Source organism: Homo sapiens, chromosome 7 (genome assembly GCF_000001405.40).
Source record: "Homo sapiens chromosome 7, GRCh38.p14 Primary Assembly".
Taxonomy (NCBI): domain Eukaryota; kingdom Metazoa; phylum Chordata; class Mammalia; order Primates; family Hominidae; genus Homo; species Homo sapiens.
The window spans coordinates 116,094,081-116,121,323 of record NC_000007.14 but is presented as its reverse complement, the minus strand read 5'-3'; the positions used below and the strand labels follow the sequence as shown (position 1 = coordinate 116,121,323).

General features: G+C 35.8%; 1 protein-coding gene across 13 annotated transcripts in view, besides 1 other annotated feature; it reads left to right on the top strand.

Moving 5' to 3' along the window:
- Positions 1–27,243, top strand: part of TFEC (transcription factor EC) — a 224,745-nt gene that overhangs the window by 38,573 nt on the left and 158,929 nt on the right. For 7 of the 13 annotated variants that reach the window (XR_007059992.1, XR_007059993.1, XM_011515970.2 and 4 more), the window contains exons 2-3: positions 9,286–9,332; positions 10,398–10,616. Coding sequence is in view for 11 of the 13 variants with exons in the window: in XM_011515970.2 (XP_011514272.1) it covers positions 10,419–10,616 (198 nt within the window). In the remaining 2 variants the exon portion in view is untranslated. Of the gene's footprint in view, positions 1–894; positions 1,205–9,285; positions 9,333–10,368; positions 10,617–27,243 lie in introns of all 13 variants that reach the window. The other 6 variants (XM_011515964.3, XM_047420052.1, XM_047420056.1 and 3 more) reach the window with 3 other exon arrangements.
- Positions 23,595–23,889: an enhancer, noted in NCBI's record as "tiled region #6568; HepG2 Activating non-DNase unmatched - State 24:Quies, and K562 Activating DNase unmatched - State 8:EnhW". NCBI's record gives its function as "activates a minimal TATA promoter and a strong SV40 promoter by Sharpr-MPRA in HepG2 and K562 cells {active_cell/tissue: HepG2 | K562}" and the evidence as "EXISTENCE:reporter gene assay evidence [ECO:0000049][PMID:27701403]".

Genomic DNA, 27,243 nt, shown 5'->3' with positions numbered 1-27,243 from the left:
GCAATATGTGGCAAAATGCAGCTTTCTGTATCTGGCTTCTTTTACTTAATGTAATATATTCAAGGTTCATTTATGTTGTAACATTAATGGTATTTTATTCCTTTTTATGGATGAATAATATTCCATTGAGGGTATATACCTCATTTTGCAGATTTATTCATTCATTGATAAACATTTGGGGCTGTTTTTACTTTTTTGGCTCTTATGAATGATCCTGCTATGAACATTTGTGTATAAGATTAGTTTGACCATTTGTTTTCAATTCTCTTGGGTGTATACTTAGAAGAGCAATTGCTGAGTCACATGGCAATACTCTAACTTTTTGAGCAACCTACTTTTATTTTTACATATAATAATACTGGTTATCCTTCTGAAAGTTATTAGGTAGGGTTTTTTATAGAACCAGTAAATATTACAGGCACATGATGCATTGGACTGGAACACAATTTATTAGCTCTTATAGCTTTAATCAATAGTTGAGGCCCCAAAGACAGAGTTATTTAGATAGTGAAGATATAAAATGGCATTTCTTCAATCAAAATTACTGAACTATACCTCTCCCTATTCTGTGCTTTCATTCAACAAATATTCTTTGGGTCCCAGCAGTACATTAAGCACTATTTAGGAACTGTGAACACAGGCAAAAGACAAAACAAATTCTATGCTAATGAAACTATGTTTAAGAAAGCAAATAAATAATTTTAGATATGCATAAGTCCTATGGAGAAAATGATGCAGGGAGCTGGCATGCAGTCTCTATCACAGACTGTAAGGACAGTGCTTCTCAAATTTTAGTGTGCATGAGAGTCATCTGGGGATGTTATTAAAATGCAGATTCAAATTCAGTAAGTCTTGGGTGGCGCATGAAATTCTGTCTTTCCAACAAATTCCCAGGTGATGCCATGCTGCTATGAATGGGCAGAAAAAGCCTGACTGAACTAGTGACTTTTCAGTGAAGATGTGAATGTGGAGTGTGCATCAAGAGCCATCCAAGTCAAAATCTAGGAAAAGAAAATTCCATGGAGAGAAAGGAGCTTTTGCAAAGGTTCCATGGAGGGAGAAGTCTTGGTTATCCGAGAAAAAGTTATATGGAATAGCAGCCCATCTTCTTCCCTGAAACACAGGGGTTCTACAAACACAGAACAAGCTAGAAAGCATTTGACTCCCTGTTATACCAGTCACAGCCTATTCTCCACCAACAAATGTAAGAATTCATTCCCAGGCCCAGGTGCAACTTTGCATCAGTTTTCTTTATCTTACCGAATATATTTTTGCAAAAAAATCCTCTTCTCTCATAACATTCACTGCAGCTCTAATTTCTTTTTAATGTTTGGTTACTTTTTTTTTTTTTATCTTGTCTGTTTTACTTAACATTGTAAGCATTTCCAATGTAATTAACTATTCTGAACCATGACTTTATATGGATGTATCAAGCTATATTTAGAAATTCCTGGATTTATATAGTTTCCACTGTTTAAATTCCTTTTGGGAGAAGTATTTCAAACAAGACTATGATAAATTTTATTGTATATAAACCTAAGCCATATCTCTGATTAACTCTTTAGATTTAAAAAATATAATAACTGGATTTTGGTAAATAAAATGTAATTACCCTCTAGAAAAATTGTTCAAATTTTTACATTTATATTATCGGTGAATAGTCCTCATTTCCACTTCATTTACCTCCCATATTAACTGGCTAGTGTAATCATTTTATTTAACTTTTTAATGACATACAATTTACATACAATAAAATTCACACTTTTAAAGTGTATAATTCAGTGTTTTTTTAACATATATTCAAAATATTGTACGTATGATTTGGTTAATTCATTAAATTTATTGTGTTTAAGCTCTCATTTCATTTTTCTTGTTGTTTCTCAGAGATTTTCTATGTAGTTATTTGTATCATTTACAATTAATAAATGCATATTTTAAAATTAATTTTAATTCATATTTATCTTTCCAGACCTATTGCATTGGCTAGATCCATGTTTTTCTCAATTATTGCTAATACTATTTTTCTGTATAATGTAGTTTAGGGGTATTTGTTTTCAAGTCAAATGTGTCTGGGTTAAATATACCACTTCTTAAATGTGTAGCATGGGGCAAATTGCTTATGATTGTTGAGTTTCAGCTTCTCTATTTGGTAAAAATGGGAAGCATTAATAAATTTATTGAAGGATATAAAAAATAAAATGCTTAGCAAAGTGCTTAATGTGTGGTAGATATTGATTCATTTTTCATTGACTTTCTAAAGATCAATGCTGCTCAGGAAATAAAATCAGGTAAAGATGATCCACAATAAAATGCTTGTGCTAATATTAAATTATGCTCATATAAATACTGTTGTCATTGAAAGTTTTTTGTAGAAATCCTTGAGCTAGACTTTTTGACACAGATAGTTATTTTATTATGCTGCCGACCTATAACCAGGATCCCATTTATGCCAGCCCAGAAACATAGCTATTTGTGTCATTATAAACCTCCAGAGAATCTGCATTCTCCCTTGGATAACTCACAGATGTGCCTCCCAGCGCTTATAGCCATAAATTCTTAATCTCTAAATTAAATATCTCCTACTGTATCTTTGCACGTTTCTCTTTCGTTTTGTAATCTTTCATAATATGCAACTATTGAATTTGTTTTTGTTAGAGGAAAAGTGTTAGACACCACTAATCATGTCTAAATTCTTTAGATATACCTCATTTATTACATTCAAAATAGTGAGAGTGTCCTGAACAATTGTGTGTAGGTGCAGGACTTATATAGGGGGCAAAAGAGGTACCACAAAGCCTTAAAATTAATTTCCCCATTAGGAAAAGATGCCAGCAGGTAGTCAACTGATCAAAAGAAATGGTTTTAGCTTTTTATGATGCAGGCACAATGAGCTCATTATTTTTTATACATAACTGAATACAAACGTTTTATTGAAGAGCTTAATAAAAACTTTGAGAAAACATTTGATAATTTTAGAATTTGCAAACATTTTGCAGGTCCGAACTTATTTGAAATGGAGGGAATAAATAATTCAACAGAAAGTTTTAGTGTTTTCTAAATGTTGAAAACGGTTTTTCTTTGTTAGACTGACCATCAGTAGTGATATGGAATGATGATTCAGAGACAGGTTGAGTGAAATGTCTATTCTTGTCCCAAGTCAAGGCAGTCACTGAAAAAATTGCTTCAGGCCATAACTTTGGCATGCCATGGGTTAAATAAAGGTCAACTCTAAGAGAAAAATAAAAATCAGTTGATCTTTTGGTGTTAAAGGGGCAAAATAGTTATCATTTTAGATGCTTTTAGTGCTCTTATAAATTCAAGGATTTTGAATTTCTTTTTCCCTCAACTGAGAATTTTCAGGCCGGTGGTGTCCACAATGTATACGAGTGCCTTGGGGCATTTTGAAAGGAAAGAGAAGGAAATTTACCATATTTTAGAGCAATGTTCTTGCCTATACAGAATCTTGCATGATACTCAATAACTCAGTGATGTGGCTAGCCCACAGGGCTGAGAATGCTTTTTACATTTAATTTAATTGGTAGCTATTTGGACCATAGGTATCTAGAGAACTAGGTTCTAATCCCATCTTTGGCACACTGTTTATTTCTGTAAAAGAGATCAAAATACAGATTTGTAATTACTGTTCAGTATTTCTTCTAACTTATTCGTCTTTGTTAGGGAAAGGGTTAAAGATTGTGGAAGCAGTTTATCAGTCAATAACAGTTCGAGAACTCCACGTCCCTGTTTTAATTTTGGCTCCATCACATTCTTTAGATAGGATAAGAGAGGTTCCTGCTTGACACGGTCATTGAAATAATTGCCTATGATGATACCATCACATGGTAAGAGCTCATTAAAATCAACTTGTATTTGGGTTATTATTATTCCTATTCTGTATCTTCCGCTAAGAAAGTATTGTAAGCAGCAAAAATCACGGAGAGGTCTGTCCTATTGTCTGGTTAATTCTGACACTTACTAACAGCTGTGTAATAAATGCCATCAGCTGCTATGTGGTGAAATGTTGTATGGATGGTATAGACACTGGGGACATTTTGGTCATTAATTGGAGACTTTCTTGGATTCTGTGTGTAATTCAGGTAATTCTCCAACAAAGCAATCTTATTTAGTCAAGCAGATTAAATGAGAAGTAGGTAGGCGACCTCTTAATAGTTCCCAGGACAAATCAGACTCAATAGGTTTCCACCATAATTAATTTATTTGTGGGTCCAACAGAGTGGTTTATTTTTGTTGGATTCTTTCAAGGATGGCAAATGCTCCACATTAATGAGAGGAATCCTCTTTTTCTGTTTATTTTTTGGTTAAAAGATGTTATTACATTTGTTTGCATAGATTGAAAGAAAAAACAACTATTATGAAATAAAATCCTTTCCTTTCGAGAAAAGTCTCTTTCATCAGAATATAAAATTGAGTGATTTTCCCATTAAGAACTGATTCTTTACTGTAGAAAAAGTCTTCCTGTGACTAGTGATAAGTGACTGCGAAAATAAAGCTTATTGCAGATTATGCCAGACAAACTAGAGAACCTGATTGAAAGAATCAGTAGACCCTTCAATGAGAATCAGCCAGAAATTCTGTACATTTTGGGGACATGTGCTCTTATTTGCTCATTCATAGAATAGTAGATTCTATTATTTTTAGAGTTGTAAGGGGCCTTACAGGCACTGTGCACTGAAGATGGTCAGTAAATGTTTGCTGAATAAATGCGTGAATGTATTTTAATATTCCTCTCATTGTTGAAATCCTTTCTCTATTTTATATACTACAGAGAGTCATTTAGCTTGTGCTTGAACATTTCAACTTACTGAAAGCTTACAAAACTCTGGGGCAGCCTTTTTCATTGGTGTAACACTCTAATTATTAGATATTTCCTTTTTTCTTGAGCCAGATTTTATCACCATGTAATTTCCACCCTTAGGTTTTAGTTTGGTTTTATGGGGGAACATTAAAATAAATCTACTTCTCCTTCACATGAAAGTTCATCACATATTTCAAGACAGCTATCATGTCCCCCATATACTTCTTTTCTTCTCCAAGCTAAACTACCATTTTTAAGATGATAGTGTTTCTAGTTCCCTAACCATTTTTATTCTTCTTTTCCATTTTTTTGGTCGATGTCTCTAACATAGTTATTTTACTATCTACCATGTAATGAGTAAATTTTGAGCCAAGAACTGTGATAAACACTTTATATACATTATTTGATTTAAATACTCACACCAACCATGTAAAATATGTTCTTTCTAGTGAAAATACTGTGTCAAGGTCACCTAGTTAAGAGGCATGATTTGGATTCATATCAGCTGTAAATAACCACAAAGCCATGTACAAGTAACTTATCCTTTCTGTACTTCAGCTTTCTCATCAGAAAAATGGGGAATTATAATTATGCCTATGTCTTAGGGCTGTAGAGAGTAATAATGAACTAATATTTGTTAAGCACTTATAAAAACATCCGGCATATAAAAAGCACTCTAAGTGTCTGTGAAGCAAGCAAGCTGGTTTATGCTTTCACTCTATACTATATTCTCTCCCTATAATGTTTCTTTTTAAAGTGGATGTGGTATGCTGAATAATGAACCCCCAGATATGCCCATGTCCTAATCCCCGGAACTTGTGGATGTTACTATACATGGCAAAAGAAACTTGCATATGTGATTAAGTTAAGGATGTTGAGGTGGGGAGATTTTTGTGGGGTTATCTTTGGTGAACCCAAAGCAATCACACAGTCCTTATAAGAGGGATGCAGACGTCAGAGTAAAAGAGAAGGACATCTTACCATGGAACCAGAGGTTGGAGTGACACACTTCAAAGATGGAGGAAGGGGCCACAAGCCAAAGAATATAGGCAGCTTCTAGAATCTGAAAAAAGCAGGAAAGTGGATTATCCCATAAAGCCTCCTAAAAAAGCCAGCTCTATCCTGCTGACATCTTGACTTTAGGTTAGGGAAACTACTTTCAAACTTCTCTACTACAGAAGTATAAGAGCAAAAAATGTATGTTGTTTGAAGCCACGAAGTTTTTGGTAAATTTTTTTAAAAGCAGCCACAGGAAACGAGTGTAGTTTGTATCCAAAACTGTCTGAAACCATGTATTAGAAATAACTGAGGTCTAAAGAGCCTGAATTACTTCTGTGATGAGTATTATAGGCTCCGTGTTCCTAGTCAATATATAGAAAAATACATCTTAACATCCAGAAGGTTCCACGTTACATGTGATACCTCTAACAGCTTTTAAAAAGGGAAGGTTAATTAACAAAGGACCACACTACTGACATTAGATCTACCTTACTTTTCTTGGCTATCCCTCATGCTCATGACAGTCAGTGTGTGGGGAGATTTTTCTCTTCTGATGTCTTTGTCTTCATTCTCTGTCAAATGTCCTCTCTCCCCATTACTGGGGGGTGGCGGGGAGGGGGGTTTCCTTTGGTTCTTTGAGAGTGAGATGTTTCAATGTCCCTTCCTAGCTGATGTCTTTCTTTGATTCCTTCACATTTCTGTCATCCTTCTTTGCATGCTTCAGTCTCAACCGAGGGAGCCTCTGATAATTTTTTACCGCTCTTGCATTTCTCGGATGCTGCTTTTGTGAAGCGTCAGTTGTTTCTAGGTGGCAGAAGAAAGGTCTTTGACCAAGAGATCTTCTTCCTCAGATTCGCATGCCGTGGGGACCTACGTCTCTTCATCTTCTGGAAGTGTAGGATGGGAGTGTGCAGAAACTCTCTGTCTCCCTTGGAACTTCACCCCCACAGCATCCAGATGCCCTCAGCATCCAGAACATCTCTCAAATGTACAGAGGAGAATTGCTGCTTTTAGAAAAACAATCCCCCTTACGCTTGCCCTTTGCAAATTGTCATGGGCTTACGTACATCTACTGATTTATCCTAAATTCTCACCTTTGTTGTTTATTTTGTTTTATTTTTGTTTTAGAGGTCTCACAAAACACTGTTTGGATGCATTCACTGAAACTTTGATCAACTGAAATCCCCAAATCTATTTCCTATGAGTTAATGATGAGCCTGGATATTTTCTACCTGATATCCATTTAAATTTTGAGCCCAAATGAAATATTGTGTGTTTTTCGCTGAAGTGGGTTTGACCCATCATTCTAGCTTATCATACTATTAATAATAACAGTAACTTACTGAGTATCTACTATGTGTGAAGCACTGTTTGAAGTTTAAAGTATCAAATTACTATTAATAATGGTTACTAAATTATATTGTTAGGATAATAAATTAAGATAACGAGTTTTCTTTTTAAATGTGTTACTTTTATTTTTCCCAACTTACTTTTTTCTCCCTTATTTGGATAGCATCCATTCTATGTACTTCTCTAAGTCCTGTAAATATGTTGAACAACTAATGATGAATGAAAGGTTCTGTGTCCATCATTAACATTATTACTTCAGGTGACTTTCCAAAACTTGTGTCCGTTTGTCTATAAAGGGCCTTAAATGATAGAAATCTGAGACCTGAGAGTTATTTTCAGTATATCCATAAGTGAACATTTTGGGAAAGATTAAGTTTATGTTGAATTATTAATCAGCTGTCTTTGGAAATGGCAATTTTAGCAACTTTGAACCTAACTAATAATTGAGCTCACACAGATTTATTTTATCAGTGAACGCATTATAAGAATCTTAGTAAAAAGCTTTGCTGAAATTAATATTTACCTATGCTTTATTATAATCCTCCTGACAATCACCTGGCAAAGATATATCACTGACTCCTTTTTATAGGATGGTGTACTCATTTCCTAGGGCTATCATAACAAATGACCACAAACTGGGTGACTTAAGACAAGAGAAATTTATTCTTTCACAGTTCTGGAGGCCAGAATTCTCAAATCAAGTTGTCAGCAGGAGTGGTTCCTTCTTGAGAGCTTAGAGGGAGAATTCCAAGCTTGCCTCCTAGCACAACTCTAATCTCTGCTTTCTTCATCACTTGGGATTCTTTTCTTTCTCTGTCCATGTTCTCTGTGTCTCTTCCCCTCTTCCTGTAACACCAGTTATATTGAATTAAGGGCTCACCCTACTCTAATATAACTTCATCTTAATGTGTACCTTAATTACATTTGCAAAGACCCTTATTTCCAAATAAGTTCATATTTACAGGTACTAGGAGTTAGTACTTATTGTGGCAGTGGGGGAGATATAGTTTAACTGGCAGAAATAGGGAAAAGGAAAAATCATTAAAGTAAGAGGAAGCACACATTCAGAATATGAACCAAGGACTTTTGTCTTCATGCAATACTCTCTTGAGTCCAGCTCCCTATCTCCTAGTGAATTCCACTTTATTTTTCATGAATTCATAGACCAGCTGTTTAATAATCAATCTGCTTTAGAATTTCATGATGCCTAAAAATCAAGCTCACTAGCTCTTGGTTTCTAAAATCTGTCTTTTCCTATTTTTAATAAGTTTTTCTTATCATTAACTTTGGTTCCTCAAATACTTTTCTTGTTTCCAAGCTCACATAATTATTCTGGGCCTAGACATTTTAATTTCTTTAGATTGGTTTGCTGATCCGTTATTACCTACATTCCTCTATTGGGCTTCAATTTTGTTTTAATGGTTGTTTTATATATTCTAGTTTAAAGCATAATTTAGAGCCGTGTGGTTCTTTTTTTCTATACATATATCCATTGCTCCTGGGCTACAGTTTGTCATAGAAAACATTAGTCTCTTTCTAGAAACATCTTCCCTTTCCAGTTCCTCTACTGTCTTCCATTAGGAGGTTGACAATTCAATATTGGGCACCAATTGTCATGTGTACAGCTATAATCAGTTAGCCAAACAACCAATTAATAATTTTGGAGTTTGTATTATGTGCCAGAGGCTGTACTAGTTCTAATGATATGAGAAATAACATACAATGAATTTTACCCTGAGGAGCTTATATTCTAGTTGAAGGGAGGGGATAGTAAACAGGAAATTAGTGTGTGCTAATTGCTATGAAAATGTTTGAACAAAGGTGTTGCCTGTATACAAGTGGAACATCTTACCCTACTTTGAAATAATTGTTAGTACCATACTTTTGTAATCAGTTATTTGCTCTCAAGTAGTGTTCCCTTATTTTTCCAGATATTGTCTATCTGCCTTTTGGAGACACATGCTCCTATTGTATGTCCTGTTGTGTATAAGATGCAACTTATCACATTGAACATCCAATGTATGTTTTTGCCTTATAATAATGTACAACGTATGAATCAAATAAGAACAGTATTATTAAAGTTAAAAAACAGTAACTTCTCTCTTTTTTTTTCTTTTCAGAGTCCTATCAATGATTTAGTTCCCTAGAGAAAATCAGAAAGTAAAAGGTATGCAGTTTTCATACAAAGTGTTGCATAGACTTGTCTCAGCAAGACCACAAGTTTATTCAATCAAGTACTATCATTTACCAGGGTGTGGTATGATATCTTATAAACACTAAAACCAGAGTTTATCTAACAGAGTTATTTAAAAATATAACTTACAGCATTAATTCTAAATTCCTTGGGGGTTGGGTCTGTTTATTCCAGTTACTTCACATTAGTGTTATTATATAATGTCTTACCTAATATGGGAGTTTTTAGGGCCCAGAAAGAAAATGATATTTTCCCAGAAACTCTGACTGAGAATTTGGGTGGCTATTAGCAAGACATTTAGGTCCCCCAACAGCTTCCTTGTTTTACTTTCAGTCCCTTTTAAGAGGTTACTTCCAGGACAGCACTGTTCTTCAGTCTGCCATAGCTCAAGCCAGAAATTGAGTGTGGGAAATGCAGTATCCATTGTGGTCTGTTTTTCTGTGTGACAGTTGTTCCTATTTTGTGTTTGTTTCTCATTTAATGAGGATACAACTTTCATCCGGGGAGATGTATGGGTCACTTGTTAGTGCACTTAAATACACTAAGGCACTCCACCAGCTGGAAATTGTGACTTGTAGTTGAATTATTTTTGCACAGTGAATGGTTTTCCTTTTGACATATTTTAATATACTTGCACACTGAGAGCAAGAGTGGGTGAACAGAAAACAGACTGTTTTATTAACCCAGCAGTCACCTTTGAGGTTTGTTCATGTCCACTTTTTTTCTTGCCTTTGTACATAATCCCAAGAGACTGGTACCTGGCTTTGCTCAGAATAACAAAGTCAGGCACAAATCTCCAAACACAATTGTTAGCTGAATGCCAACTGTTTCTTCTCATCTTTTTTTTTTTTTTAACTTGAACATTAAGAATTACCTCTTTATGGATGAACCATAACCATTAAATAATGAGTTTGTTTTCTATTTCAAATACCTCCCTTATCATTTACTAAATTTATTTTATAGTATGTAGTCTCAGGTGATAAAATATTATTTTGTATGTGTTTTACAGTGCTCCTTTTTTTCCAAATCCACTAATAGTGAGAAGAAAAGAAGAGAAATATGTTACAAGCTTTAACTGGACTTCAATTTCAGCTGAAAGAACAATTAGGAGAAAAGGAGAGAAGACTTCAAATCAGCCAGGAAATCAGTGCCCATAGAACAGAGTTCCACATGCAGTTTTCATACAAACCAGTGTTGCATAGACTTGTCCCAGCAAGACCACAAATTTATTCAAGTCAATTACCATCCTTTACCAGGGTATGTATCTGTATACATATACAGCCGTAATTTCTAAGTAAGTATAGTAACTACCTCTGAAAATCTGTCTGTTTTAATTGTACTCAAAAAATTGAAGGAAAAAAACAAGAATAAAAACCCAGGGCTTCCTCCCAATTTCCAGTAAGTGGATACAATTTACATTAACTGACCCATTTAACAGCATGGAAATATTCAGCATGGAAGTATTAATGCAACAAAGAACCCAAAGTACATACTTTTCCCTTTCCTGTTATTATCATTATCATCTACATCATTGTCATGATACAACTACTACTTGATATTTTGGAGCACTTTATACTTCACAAAGAAGTTTTATATCATCTCATTTTGCTATTTGAATCAATCATTGTAGTATGCCATAATGAAGATTATCAATAGAGAGAAAATTTTTAAAAACACTCCAAGACTTTTAAAGCACAGAGAAGTGGTGTAGTGTGTAGGAAGGACTGTTTTTGTTTATTATTATACTTTAGGTTCTAGGGTACATGTGCACAATGTGCAGGTTTGTTACATATGTATACATGTGCCATGTTGGTGCGCTGCACCCATTAACTTGTCATTTACATTAGGTATATCTCCTAATGCTATCCCTCCCCCTTCCCCCCACTCCATGACAGGCCCTGGTGTGTGATGTTCCCCTTCCTGTGTCCAAGTGTTCTCATTGTTCAGTTCCCACCTATGAGTGAGAACATGCGGTGTTTGGTTTTTTGTCCTTGCAATAGTTTGCTGAGAATGATGGTTTCCAGCTTCATCCATGTCCCTACAAAGGACATACTATGCATCCTTTTTTATGGCTGCATAGTATTCCATGGTGGATATATGCCACATTTTCTTAATCCGATCTATCATTGATGGACATTTGGGTTGGTTCCAAGTCTTTGCTATTGTGAATGGTGCCGCAATAAACATACGTGTGCATGTGTCTTTATAGCAGCATGACTTATAATCCTTTGGGTATATACCCAGTAATGGGATGGCTGGGCCAAATGGTATTTCTAGTTCTAGATCCTTGAGGAATCACCACACTGTCTTCCACAATGGTTGAACTAGTTTACAGTCCCACCAACAGTGTAAAAGTGTTCCTATTTCTCCACATCCTCTCCAGCATCTGTCGTTTCCTGACTTTTTAAATGATTGCCATTCTAACTGGTGTGAGATGGTATCTCATTGTGGTTTTGATTTGCATTTCTCTGATGGCCAGTGATGATGAGCATTTTTTGATGTGTCTGTTGACTGCATAGATGTCTTCTTTTGAGAAATGTCTGTTCATATCCTTCACCCACTTTTTGATGGGTTTGTTTGTTTTTTTCTTGTAAATTTGTTTGAGTTCTTTGTAGATTCTGGATATTAGCACTTTGTCAGATGAGTAGATTGCAAAATTTTTCTCCCATTCTGTAGGTTGCCTGTTTACTCTGATGGTAGTTTCTTTTGCTGTGCAGAAGCTCTTTAGTTTAATTAGATCCCATTTGTCAATTTTGGCTTTTGTTGCCATTGCTTTTGGTGTTTTAGACATGAAGTCCTTGCCCATGCCTATGTCCTGAATGGTATTGCCTAGGTTTTCTTCTAGGGTTTTTATGGTTTTAGGTCTAACATTTAAGTCTTTAATCCATCTTGAATTAATTTTTGTATAAGGTGTAAGGAAGGGATCCAGTTTCAGCTTTCTCCATATGGCTAGCCAGTTTTCCCAGCACCATTTATTAAATAGGGAATCCTTTCCCCATTTCTTGTTTTTGTCAGGTTTGGGAAGGACTGTTTTTTAAAGTTAGAATTCTGAGTCTGCATTGTTGGCTCTCTGATAGTGGGCTTTATAAAGCATTGCTTTGTTGACTTATTCAATGTGAAAGATAATAGTTATGCCAAAAACTGCTTATGAAGTTTGACTGAAGATTACGTTTTGTAGAGGGTCTATCACAGTGTGTGTAGGTAGAAAATGCATTGAGATGGAATTTTTGTACTGGGGTAGGAGGTTATTGTAGGTAACTTTGAAAGCAAACACTATGAGGATATATTCCTATAGTTGGTGACTTATTCAAGGTAGCACATCTAGTAAGTGGCAGAAGCAAGATTGGAACCCAAGTCTCATGCTCTCAGTGTACATCTAAAATTTAGTCTAATTTTAATACTATATTTTGAGCACCTGCTTTTGATCAAGTTATTGAGCTACATTTTAAAGGTACAGATATGAAAAAAGAGGCCTTGCTAGGAGGGTTTTATAGTGTGGAATGGGAAATAAATAAATTCGATGAAAGAAAAGCTTGCACCATTGGTGTGGTGTATAGTATTGTACATGGTTTTGGTGATGTCAAGGAAGGCTTTGTTACTGTGGAGACATTTGAATTGGGCCTACAAGTATTGCCAGCTCCATTTTCAGGAAGTAGCTATATCAATAATACTTGCTTTATTTTTCATATTACAGTTTTTCTTAAAAATAAGACTATTTCATTGACCTTGAGTAAACTTTCAATAACAATGCTTATTTATTGTAAGTTGAGCTTTAAAATACCTTTGCGTCTTAAAATAATCAGAATGTTCTGTTTATAATTATTTCTAACTTCATTACATTTTTCTATTTAGTGCTTGCAGTTTTTATTTTTCCTCAAAAATATTTAAGCCAGTAGGGTTTTAATGAAAAGTTGTAGAAGATTCTGAGTTCTATAATCTTTGTTTTCTTTGAGTCCTCCTCATCATTATCCTCACAGCCTCATGATAAAACAATATATTTTTAGCACTTGGTAAGCAATTGCTATGGGACAAGCATCATGCTAATCACTTTACATATAGTATTCTAATTCTTCAATAATCTAGTTCAGTAGCTGGAAGCCCCATTTGCAGATTTTGAACTAAGGCTCAGAGATTTTAAGAAATGATCTCAAAATTGCATGACTGGCACCAACATTACTGTTCTCTGACTATGACCTAGTGGTTCTTATTTGTCTGCTTTGTTGGGTTTCACTACTTTCTCACTAGCTTTATTATTGAAAACGCTGATGATTCCCGGTAAGAGTAACCCAGTATGAAGTAGATGAAATCACAGAGAGAATTTGTTGGCTGCTATTTCCAGGAAAGAGAGCTGATATCAGGGATGACTAGAGCCAGAACTTCAAATATCACTAGGAACAGCTCTAGGTCTCATCTGTGCTCTCTGCATATTGTCTTTGTTCTCAGACCAGCTCCTCCTTGCAGCAAACAGTATAGGCTTCAGTCCCTCCAGGCTCACATCTTCACAGCTTGCCATCAAGGAAAATAAGTATTTAATGTTATTCAGCTCCAGTGTGAACTATTCTAGGGAACATTTGCTGGCTCGCATGTCTAGCCCTTGGCCTGGTCATTATGACCAAGATGGTAAGTGCTATGCTCAGTTTTTTTAGAAGTCAGGTGTTCGCTTTGATGGCTGTAGGGAGAGAGGGAGGGGATGGTCTGTTATTATAATTGGGAGGCAAAAGGGGTTGTACAGACATGGCCTCCAAGTAATTGCATAAGCCAGGCAGTTATCTCAATTTGTGGCTATAACACAGGTCATTATGATGCCTCTGCTATTCTTGTCTTAGTTAAGTCTTCACCATTTAACACCCTAGGTGATTAGTTCTCTTAAATCGCATCTGTAGGATGGAGAGCTTTGGATTCATATTGTCCATTAAGGTAAAAACTCTGTCAAGTTTATTTTGAACAGTTAAAGTTGGTTTGACCCAAATATAGTCTCTAAATCTTAAACATTTAAAAAATCTAAGGTAGGAAATTCTGTTTCTGATGGGGAACAGGATCAGCCTATGCAATTAAAAGAAAAATTAACGTGTGTTGAACAGACTTCAGACTCTGCAAAAGTGATATGTAAACAGACACCCTGGGTGCATTTGGTCAACCTTGCTTTTGGCTAGCATGTGCCAACATTTCAGAGCTCGCTCAAAACTATGTGATTACATTTCTTGCCTCAAAAAGCTGAGATTTTTTTTGTCTGCAGTGACTTTATGAAGGTACTGCCCACTTTGAAACTGTCTGAAGTCAGCCAGGCACGGTGGCTCATGCCTGTAATCCCAGAACTTTGGGAGGCTGAGGCGGGTGGACATAAAGACTTGAGGTCAGGCATTGGAGACCAGTCTGGCCAAAAATCCTGTCTCTACTAAAAACAAAATACAAAAATTAGCTGGGCGTAGTGGCATGTGCCTGTAGTCCCAGCTACTCAGGAGGCTGAGGCAGGAGAATTGCTTGAACCTGGGAGGTGGAGGTTGCAGTGAGCCAAGATTGTGCCACTGCACTCCAGCTTGGGTGACAGCAAAACTCTGTTTCAAAAAACAAACAAACAAACAAACAAACAAAAAACAAAAAACTGAAGTCATCAGTCAGCTGACACTTTAAGTGTTGAGGCACATTACTGGAAAGATTCTAAGCCTTAGAGACTTACACTGTGATAAGTGTCTTTTAAATGCTGTGAAACTTCTTCATGAGACCTTGTAATGTGTTTCAACAAGTATTTATTAATTTATTTTAAAGAGTGAAATTAGACAGTTTTTAGAGTATTTAAAATAAGAGATATTCTTTAATCAATAGGAAACTGTTTCTTTCTAAGCAACGTCATATGTCAGCCCTGTGTTGAATGTGAATAGAGATACTCTATGTGGGAAGCTCTATCTTCTTGGAATGCTGACTTTAATTTTGTTGATAAAGATAGAGAGGTAGAAATTCTACCTTTTCTACAAAAGAAAGAAAAGAAATTCTTTCTTTTCTACAACGTCTTGAATTCCCCACCACTCTATCAACACGTACATCTTACTCGGGAATGGAAGGTGGAAAGAGATGGGGAAAAGGAGCTTGCTAATTGGGGAGAGGATATTAGGATGAAAATTTAACTTCCCAGTTAAATGTCTCAAAGCCTTTTTTTGTAAAGTGGTGACTTTAAGGTTAAATCTGTCTCTTTTTGGCAAACACTCAGACTTTCATGGATGTGAGGCAAAGCTTTCATGTGCTTATGTCCTCTGACCTGGATGGCTACCTCCGAGATGCTTCTTTCTCTGACTGCCACTGGCCTTCCTGCTGGCTTGCGCTGCTGAGTCTGTGGCTAACAAGGTTCATAGCATGTTTTCCTAGCAGCATCAACATCAGCGGTCAATGCCAACGGATCTGGAGTCTCACCCACAGAGCCCAGGCTAGACTATTTTGGTTGCTGCCCCTCATCCACTGGGGGCCTGCAGGGATATTTAGGTCAACACTAAGGTGCTTCTCCTGTGTATGTTTCTTTTTTCTGTTGGACTGCATTGAATTTGAAGAGGCACCTAGGTAGAGGCAGTTGCATACTTGGATTTGTAGCTCAGAGAAAGGCTATTAACTGGAGAAAAATATTTGTAGGTTATTAACATTTACTTTTATTAAAGCAGTGGTAGTGGATACATTGGGGTTTCTGTCCTTTTGCAAACTCTCTACTGCATATGTACTAGTGGTTTTGTGCCAGAGTAGGGGATCAGGACTCTCATGTCTGCCTCCTGGTCTCTCTTTCTCCTCTTTCTATAATTTTTTTTGGAGAAAACATATGATTTCTTGGTCTTCTAGAAACTTCTTACATCTTCCTTTTTCCAGCATTGGCATTCATCCTTCCTTTTCTCTGGGGCCATAGGACTGGAGGGCTGCAGGGAATGGAGGTCGGATTCAAAATATAAAAAATACCAAGAGATGTATATAGAGGATATTAATCCTGACACAGAGGTAAAACTTATGGAACATGAGAAGGCAGTGAAAAAATATTCAATCACAGCCTCAGTAGCTAAGTCTTCGATGTTTAGATCTCATTTTCTAGTTGTGCTTTGGGTGTTTTAAATTTGTTAAATAACCTGTAGGATTTGATCATCTCCTCCAGATATAAATCTCATTTACATTTACGCTGAACACCCTTTTGAAGTCATCTATTTCAAAGACCTCTTAAAACTTTAGCTTTTTTTTTTTTTGTGAAATACAGGCTTAAAAAATTATGTCAAGTGGACTGTATATTATACTTTACATACTTCAAAGTCCCTCTGCCTATAGAGGGAGTTTAAAAGGGATAGAAATTAGAGAAACTGCAAAGCTGAAAAAGTAAAAACAACTGTGCATTGTCTGTAAAAATGTTTTTCAAATAAGAATGAAAACATTTTCCCCCAGAGTTCCCTTTTGTTATAAATGTAAGGAATGCATGGTTCGGACTTGAGCAAATGTATCTAGCACTCTCTGATAATGAGTAATGGATGAACTGAAATGGTAGCCATGCTTATGCTAATTTTATAAGCATTTTGATCAACACCATAATCAAGAAACTTAGAGAAGTCATATAATGCCCATTGTGTTGCCTGAATAACATATATTATACACCTGAGACTCAGCATCTAATACCCTGTGAAATAGCTTGATAGCCCAAGAGCTTACTAATGGAGGAAAATGGCTCACTGAAGCTGAGGGAAATTAGAGTGGGAGTCACCTGTTCTCTTAGAGTCCTCAAGTAGAAGGCAGTCTGGCACTGTGGTTCTTATTAATCAATACCTACATTTCTGGGTCTGTCTTGATTTTAGGTAATAAAGCAGAGAGAATCAGACAACCTTCGGATAATAAATTGCAGGATCTGGAGAAGTTAGAATATTAATGTTCTCCCTTTTCTTCACTATTATTGACCTGTAATTTTAGTATAATTTCCTTTTACTTATCTTGAAACATAGAAAATTGGTCACCTTTAACTTCATAATCTTCCTCTGTAAATGTAAAGACTGTTGTCCATTTTCAAATTTTTCTTGTATGTCTCCTCTTCTGAAGGCTTTTAGGAGTTTATTATAACTAGTAGCGACCTCTTTAAATTTCCTGTAGTTATTTGAAAATGCATCATGGCATTGATTAAAAAATACTTCTTTAGATTTTTAAAATAATATATACTCAACAAACAACTTTGTTTTGCTAATTTTCAGTGGCAAACTGCTCTCCTCATTTTCAATTATCTTTTAAATATGCGTGTCCGGAGACATAGATACTAATTATTTCTAGTAGCTGCCACCGAATGAATAACCGTGTCTCTACGTGTTAACTGACCCTGTGGCTGAAATTTCAGATATAGATAATTGACAAAAACAGAAATAGTATAATTTCTATTCCACATTACATTTTAATATTAATATTTAACTATAGAAACTAAGAGATTCAGTGAAAGATATAAGGAAATGTCATGTCTTGGTTATTTGTTAATTATTATTTTTGCTCACTAGATTGAACAGCTACCCATCTTTCCTGCTGTCCTTTCAGGTTTCTAGAGTTTAGGTTCAAGTCATTGTCTTTCACAACTTTTTTGAGACCTGTCCATTCTGACTGCTCTGAATCCTGTGTAAGCAGCAGCTTTGGCAGAATCACTTTTCATCTTCTACTACACTTACCAGAGAGAAAACGAACTTTCCACTTTCTGGTGTCTTGGTTGGCTCTGAGTGATCACAGCTTCCCTGCTTTTGTCTTTGTGGAGACCTATTCCCATTTCCTGCTCTGCTTCCCTGGGGCTCCAAGTGTTCCCTCAGGCTTTCCTTTGCTTGTCTCACTTCTGGCCTCTCCCTGAAAATGTTCTGCCAGTTTCAGGTAATCGTTATTACCATGCCTGTCTTATTTTCTACACAACCTTTAAAAGTCTCTGAAAATAGCACACTATTATCTCACCCTGCCTATCTTATTGATAGATGCAGCTCCAGAAACTAGAGCACAGTAGGTGCTTACCAAATATTTGGTTTTCCTTAAAACTGTTTCTGGATTTCTTTGCTTTTGACTTTTCATACTATCACAGGCAAAATTATCCACTAACACTGCTTCGATAAATGTAAATGCTAACAACCTACAAATATTTGTCTCATTTATAGCCCTCCTCTGAGCTACACATTCAAGTATCCATCCTCTTCTACATAGATGCCACTTCAAATTCAATATTTAGACCCAAACTAAATGAATAAGCTAGTTTCTCTGAATGCTGCCACAAGTGTAAATGAAATGAAAAACTTGCTTATTCTTAGGTGTTGTGTACTTCATAACTGGAATACTTATCCATGCACTTAGTCAAGCCTTAAAATTGGGGTCATCCTTTCATTCTGTCTCCTTCATCTTTGTTATTGCCAAATCCTGTTGAATCTGCCTTGTAAATAGTTCTCAAATCTATCCTCCTTCCTTTATTGTTGCTGCTACCACCCTAATCAAGGTCATCATTATTTGTCATCATTATTTCTGTATTCTTACAATATTCCACATTGGTGTCCTTGGGTCCAATCTCGTTCCTATCCAATCTTTCTCTACCACATATCCTCAGAGATCAGTCATCATCTAAATGTGACTATGATTGATACCCTTTTTCCAAACAAACACACCAATGAAAGCTCTTCAGTGGCTTCTCATTCTCTTTCAGAAAAAGTCCAATTCCTATGTCAGCTGAAATGGGGTGGTGTATCCTTAACCCTCCCACTGACCTATTTTGCTTTGAGTGCTGGGAAGAGTAAATAAATCACATGGTTGATCCTTAGGCAATTTCTCCCGCATTATACTTTTCTAAGCTAGACTATAGTTAGAAGCCAGATAGAAAAATTTGAGGTTATATTTTCCATGAGAAACTTGTATCCTGTTTTTCTATATTAATAATTAAGGGTTGATTATTAAACTTTGAAAACAGAGGAACATGTGATAGGACGAATATCTTATGATAAAAATTAAAGAATTTCTCCAGTGTTCCTGAAGATTAAAAGACTATAGAAAAGGATACTAGTAAGCAATGGTTAGAGTTTTCTGTAAGAGTCATCTTTGAATCAGCTCCAACATATGAACAAATGTTCAGTTGAATCACAGTTTTCAGACATTACTGAATGGCAAACTTATTTTTGTCTAGAAAACTTTCAGTTATTACTTGCATCCCATTTCAGACATAAAAATGTATCAATAATGCCGTCAAGCATTTTCTAATTTTGAGATATAACTTAATGCCTTTTAATAATTTACAATACATTCATTGTTGCCCCCCTGCCCCAACTCCCCCCAAGGTCTTTTCTGCAATCAACGTATCTTAAAAGTGAAAATTTCTTTGCTGGTTCTTGTGAGCAAAAACACCCCTATTCTTTCTCCAACTAATTATTTAAAGAGCCAGTCAGGTTTACTATTGGGGCAAGTAGTTTGAATATTTTTAAAACTTTAATCCACAGATTGTGTAAAGTGTAAAAGTAACATATATGTTAAACTTATTTAAAGTTGTTACTTTCTGATTCTACCTTCATCTTCTTTTCTTCCATTACAGTAGGAGCATATTGCAATTCCCTTCTCTTTCTTCACTGTTATTAACTTTTCCCCTTTTATCAGAAAAAGGATCTTGCTTTCTTTGATTCTCTTATTGATATTTTAAAAGGACTTTTTTTCCTCTCTTGCTGTCTCTCTCAGGCAAGTCCCATCTCAATTGTCCTTTGTCATTCATTGTCAGTCTTTGTGTCCATCCTCTTATCCCAGCCTAGTTTTTTCCTTTTTCTTTTTTTTGGGGGGGGGCATGAAAGTGGGGGACATTGGTGTTGGGAGTCTCATATCAGTGTCAGGGCTTAAGCAAAATGCAATCATTTTCAAATGTGAATTGAAGTTTATACCAAAAAGGCAATGTTTCTTTGTTTCAATAAATTGGAGCCTCCTGCAACTCATTCTTATTTAAAGAAATTTTAAAATAGAACTTCTAAATAACTAATAGCTGGAAAATCCTGGTTTGGGGCTTTAGTCACTAAAGATAAGGAAAAAAAAACATTTGCTTCCGTCCTCCCATCTGGCTTTTACACATGCATTTCAGGCTCAGTGTGCTCTTGCTCTTTCTTTTATCTATGCCCATCTGCTTGTATGGTGTGTTCTCACCCTAACATATTTTCAGACCCTTGCCATAGGGCAGAAGTGCCAAGCAATTATTTGTTGAGATAGATAGCCCACATAATACTGTAAGTGACATCTGTTCTGTAGAAAATCCCTCCCTTGTGGCAGCCGTGTCATATTGGCAGCTCATAGGAATATTGGAATTGACATAGAGGGACAATTGAATGTTTCATCTTATCCTGAATTCTCACTCAGAATGCATCCAATACCAGATGCTTTAGAGAACCAAGTAACCCCCTGTCTCTTTCTCTTGTTCGCTCTACACCTATGGTAATTGGCAATACTACACTATGGGGAAAATTTCTTCCTGACCCCAGCTGGTAACCAAATTATGCCCTAAAGCATGAAGACTGGCATACTTTAAAGTTTGTTGCAGTTAAGATGCTGAAAAATGGGATGTTTTTCATATTAATGTGCTTACTAGATTGTTTGACCTAAAATAATAGCTTGAGTAGTAAATTTCACAAATTACTCTTAATAACATGATTTGGCAAAATTACAGTGACAGATGAACATTTTAAACTTTTAAGAGTGCTGATCTCCATGTTTGGCAATTGGATCTTCTCTTTTAGACTATTTTCAAATAGATGATAAGAAAAAGAGACCACAGTCTATAGTGGTTTAAGGCTTGGTTCTTTGTATAAAGGTATATTTAGTAAAATATATTAATTGCCTCTGGGTAAACTCTGAATTTATTAACTTTTAGCCATTTGATATTACAAAGGCAGGCAGAAATTGGAGCTATAGTCAGTATTGGTAAATTAAAAATACAATATACAAATTAGGTTCTGTATAAATTCAATTTCCCATACCATCTACATTGATGCTGTTAATCTCTTCCAAAACACTCAGAACATCATAAACACTTCAGATTTTAAAAAAGTTAGAATCATTATGAAAGGCTTTTAAAATAAAGGTTGAAATGAAAGCACTCAACTACACAATTGGATTAACCCATTTATTTTGGCTTATATTTAAGTACAATTTAAACATTTAGTAATAATATGCTGTATTAGTTACGCATTGTTGCAATACCAACTACTATGAAAATCAGTGACCTAAAACAACTATGTTACTTCTTCATGATTCTCTGGGTTAGCAATATGGGCTAGGTTCATTCGCTTGCTTCCATTCTGCATCTTGTTGGGTGAGTGTCCTGGAGATTGATATTTTAAGACAGCTTCACTCAAAAGTCTTGTTTGAGACTGACTGATGACTGTTGGCTGAGCCGTGTGTCTCTAGCAGTATGGTTTGGCTTCTTCATATGTGGATCTAAAAGCAAGAAGAAAGGGGACTGGTCGTAATGTGGAAGTTATTTTAAACTTCTACTTGTATGTTGTCCCTTCAGCCAAATCATCATGGCTAACTCTAGAGTCGCCGTGGGAGAAGACTGCATAATGGAGTGGATAGAGGGAGGTGTGATTCATTGGGTACCCTAACTGTAAAAATCTACCACATATTGCTATTCAGGATTACCAGTTAGCAGAACCTTACTTTCCTAATTATTTAACATGGTGCAGTCATTACTAGAATCTTGTGCTAAATCCTGTAAATCTGCAAGAGAAGAGAACTGTGTAGAAAATGTAAAGATCAGTGAAACGAATTCCTTACTTGATCAGTTTTTCTCTCTACATATTTTTGATACCGATTCTTTGTAGGACATGTGGTTTGCCAATATTTATTCCCTATCTATCTTTTCATCCTTTTAACAAGATCTTTCACAGAGAAAAACATTTTAATTTTGATAAAGTCCAATTTAATGAATATTTATTTTATGGATTGTGCTTTTGGTATCATGTAAGAACTCTTTTTATACATTGCTAGATTCAATTTGCCAGTATTTTGCTGAAGACTTTTGCTTCTAAATCTATGAAAGATATTGATCTGTAATTTTCTTTTCCTTCCTTCCTTCCTTCCTTCCTTCCTTCCTTCCTTCCTTCCTTCCTTCCTTCCTTTTCTTCCTCTCTCTTTCTTTCTTCTTTTCCTTCTTGCTTTTGTTTTTGTCTGGTTTTGGTATCAAGGTGATGCTGATCTCATAACATAAGTTGGGAAGTATTCATTTAAATGATATTTTCTGAAAGAGATTCTGTGTAATTGGTGCCAATTCTTAGTTAATGTTTGGTCATCTGGGCCTAAAGATTAATTTATTGTTTTCAAATTTAAGATCAGTTACTTTAACAGTTATAGGGTATTAAAATCGCTAACTAAAATTGTGGATTTGTCTATTTTTCTTTCAGTTCTCTCAGTTTTCCTTCTATATATGTTGATGAACTGTTGTTTGGTGCATGTACAGTAGGATGACTAGGTGTTCTTGGTGGATTCACCCTTTCACTATTATGTAATAGCCTTCTTTGTTTCTGCTTAAGTCTTTTTGCTCAGAAGTCTATTTTATGTGATACTAATACAGTTATTCTTGGTTGCGGCTGGGCGCAGTGGTTCACGCCGAGACCAGTCTAGGCAACACAGTGAAACCCCATCTCTACTAAAATAGAAAAATTAGCTGGGCGTGGTGGTGCACGCCTGTAGTCCTAGCTACTCGGGAGACTGAGGCAGGAGAATCGCTTGCACCCGGGAGAGGGAGGTTGCAGTGAGCCGAGATCGTGACACTGCACTCCAGCCTATGCAGCAGAGTGAGACTCCGTCTCAAAAAAAAGAAAAAAAAAGTTAATGTTTGCATAGTATATCTTTTTCTGTCCACTCAATTTGCTTATATTATCATGTTTTTAGCAAGTTTCTTATAATTTTGGTCATGTTTTTATCCACCTTGCTAATCTCTATCTTTTGATTGATATGTTTAGATCAGTTACAGTTAGTATAACTATTGATATGTGAAGAGTTAAGTCTGTCAGTTTATGTATTTATTGTTTGTTCACTCACTCTGTTTCTCATTCTTTGATTTCCCTTTTCTGTCCTTACTGTAGATAATTTAAACATTTTTCAGAGTTTCATTTTGATTTATTTACACTATTTCTGAGTCCATATCATTGGATAGTTTTGTTTTGTTTTGTTTTTTAGTGGTTGCTCTGGGTATTACAGCACAATAATCTTCCTTTATTCACAGTTTTGTTTGTGCTGTTTTCGGTTATCCATGGTTAACCGTGGTTTAAAAATATCAAATACAAAATTCCAGAAATAAACAATTCACAGGTTTGAATTGTGCTCCATTCTGAGGAGTGTGATGAGATCACACACCTTCCTTCTCTGTCCCCTGTGGAATATGAATCATCCCTTTGTCCTGCATCGCCACACTATAAAAGCTACTTCCTGTTAGTCACTTAGTAGCCATTTTCGTTATCAGATTAACTTTTGCTGTCTCACACTGCTTGTGTCCAAGTCACCCTTATTTTACTTAATAATGGCCCAAAAATGCAAGAATATTGATGTTGGCATATTGTTATAATTGTTCTATTTTATTATGTTGTTGTTAATATCTGACTGAAGCTAATTTGTAAATTAAAATTTATCATAGACATGTCTATATAGGAGAAAACATAGTAAATGTAGAGTTCAGTACTAATGCAGTTTCAGGCAGCTACTGGGGGTCTTAGAACATATCCTCCCATGGATAAAGGGGGACTACTGTATACATATGTCTACTGTCACGGTCTACATACTTCATAGTCTCCTGTATTGACATTTTACCACTTTGCGTAAAGTATAGAAAATTGATTTATATTCAGATTCTTTTATCCTGCCCACTTTCTTTTTTCTTTCTTTCTTTCTTTTTTTTTTTTGAAACAGAGTGTCGCTCTGTCGCCAGGCTGGAGTGTAGTGGTGCAATCTCAGCTCACTGCAACCTCCGACTCCCTGGTTCGAGCGATTCTCCTGCCTCAGCCTCCCGAGTAGCTGGGATTACAGGCATGCGGCACCACGCTCAGCTAATTTTTGTATTTTTAGTAGAGATGGGGTTTCACCATGATGGCCAGGATGTTCTCGATTTCCTGACTTCGTGATCTGCCCTCTTCGGCCTCCCAAAGTGCTGGGATTACAGGCGTGAGCCACAGCGCCCAGCCTATCTTGCCCACTTTCTATTTATAATATTAGTTTGTCTAAATACTTTGAGCACACATCAGAAGGCATTGTAATATTTGCTTAAATCATCAAACATGACTTTACAAGCTCATGAAAAAAGAACTGTCAAAACTCAAGAATAAGAAAACAACCCAGTTTAAAATGCACAAAATATCGGGACAGATACTTTACAAAAGAAGATATACAAGTGGAAAAAAAAAACGCATAGTAAGAGGACTCTCAGTATCATATGTCATGGAGAAGTTGCAAATTAATATGACAGTGAGATTCTACTATACACATATTAGAATGGCTAAAATCCAAAACAATGAAAATACCACATATTGTCAAGGATCCACCTGCTCCAACCTTCCTTTTTTCTTTTGTTTTATTTTTGGAGAGAGAAATACAGTTTAATTTCGTCACCAAATGAAAACGACATTAAGGACAGATTATGCTCATTTAAAATATGAGACTATTTGACAAGTATGAAGGTAATAGCAATACAAAAGTGAAGCAACAGTCAGAGATTTTATAAAGAAACCACCCTTAAAATTTTATATCTCAGGAAGGCAAGACAAGTAGTTATAGGGGTGTGTGTGTTTATGTGTGTGTGTGGAGCGGGGAGTGTTGATGTTGGCTGAGCCCATAAGACAGTAGAAATCTTAGTCAAAGTATCTGGGAAAAAGTCCTGTAAGAGTTGTTGAAGAAGAAGGATTTAGTCAATAAAGGGAAATACAAAGTTATATTTAAGACGTATTAAGTTCAAGATTACAATGGAAAAGTGGTAGTAAGTAGTTAGTACTGGATTTGGATTAGACTTTAGAAGAGGAAACACATCTAATGCACAGATGTGGCAGTTAGTTGCAAAGGCAACAGATGAAGCCAAGACAAAGAAGGATAATAAGCAAAGGATAGAATCTTGGAATACACTCATGATTAGGAGGGAAGAGAGGAAGGGTTGAGAGTAGTGGATGAGAAAAAAAGTAGTGTGATATGATAGAGGGCAAAGCAAGAGATATTCAAGAAAGAGAGCTCCTCCAGATGCAGTAGAAAAAAAAATAAAAGGAAACGTAGAATCCCTAAAGGTCATTGAACTGAGGTGATCATAGCTGACCTTTGAAAGTGTCATAGTTTCAAAAAGATTTGGGAACAGAAGCCAGATTACAACATATTAATGAGTGAGTTCAAAATATAAAAGGCTACTTTGGTAGTAAAAGGAGGAAAGGGGAACTGACGATAGTTTCAGGGTACATCACAGTAAAGTCTTAGTGATAGGACCATAGTCTACAGCATTTGTATTAGTCACATATATTGGATATTGCATATGAAGCTTTGGGGTTTGGATATGTGTGTATGTATATGTGTATGTGTGTATGTATATGTGTATGTGTGTATGTGTCCACACATGCATGCTAGCACATTTGCTACAATGTCACCTTTTCACTCATGCATGCCTGTACCCCTAAACACACACACTTTTGTTTTGTTTTTGCAATTAGTATAGTTGCATAACTAGAAGTGCTTTATGTTTTCAATAAAACAGAAAAACTTTATGAAAAAAATAGGATTTAAGGTGAGTTAAGGCAAAAAAGTTTTGAAAATTCAGTGGTTTTATGGCCAAATATTAGACTACATTCTGAAAAGGTCAAACCATGAAAGGGATATTAAGTAAGCAGCCCTGTATTATAAATTTTGTAAATCTTGGATACCATTTTAATGATGCTTTTGCAAGTGGGTATTACGCTTGTTAATTAAAGTTGAAAAAATAACCAACAACATCCTCATTATTAGTATCTATAAGTAGCAGTTCATCTGCTGAATATCCCAGGCATATATATTTAAAGCACAATGTGTTATATAAAATCAGTGATTGTAAGTTTAATTAACATCGAATGAGACTTAGCAATTTAACTTCAATTTACAGCATAAAGGTTACCTGTGCTGAGCTCATTCCATAATACTGGTGCTATTATAACATTGAACAATAAATTGACCACTGAATAAGAAATAAGAACAAAGAAAAGCCATTTGTAAGTTGGACCATCTGTAAGACTACTATATCTCAATGTACTCTGTTTTTTTTGTTGTTGTTTTTTGTTTGTTTGTTTTTATTTTGTTTTGTTTTGTTTGAAACGGAGTCTTTCTCTGTCACCCAGGCGGGAGTGCAGTGGCTCAATCTGAGGTCACTGCAACCTCAGCCTCCCAGGTTCAAGCAATTCTCCTGCCTCAGCCTCCCAAGTAGCTGGGACCACAGGCACATGCCACCACGCCTGGCTAATTTTTTGCATTTTTGGTAGAGACGGGATTTCATCATATTAGCCAGGATGGTCTCGATCTCCTGACCTTGTGGTCCGCCTGTCTCAGCCTCCCAAAGTGCTGGGATTACAGGCGTGAGCCACCACGCCTGGCCAAAATGTATTCTTATTTTAAAATTTTAAATACATTTGTCATTACATGGTAGTACTTACGAAAAACTAAAACCTGAAGTCTAGTCTAGACCTAAACATAATGAGAAAAAAGTAATCACATTAACAGCTGTTGGTCTTATGCATCTGACTTCAAACCAATTCTGACTTTTATAACATTGTTCAGGTTACCAGGTGCTGGAGGCAAATTCTCTGTAGTGTTTATGATCTCACACTCAGGAATCAAGATTATTTATGTCCTTTTCTCCCTCCTTAATGTATTTAAAACTACCTCATATGTTATTCTGTTGGTGTCCAATCTG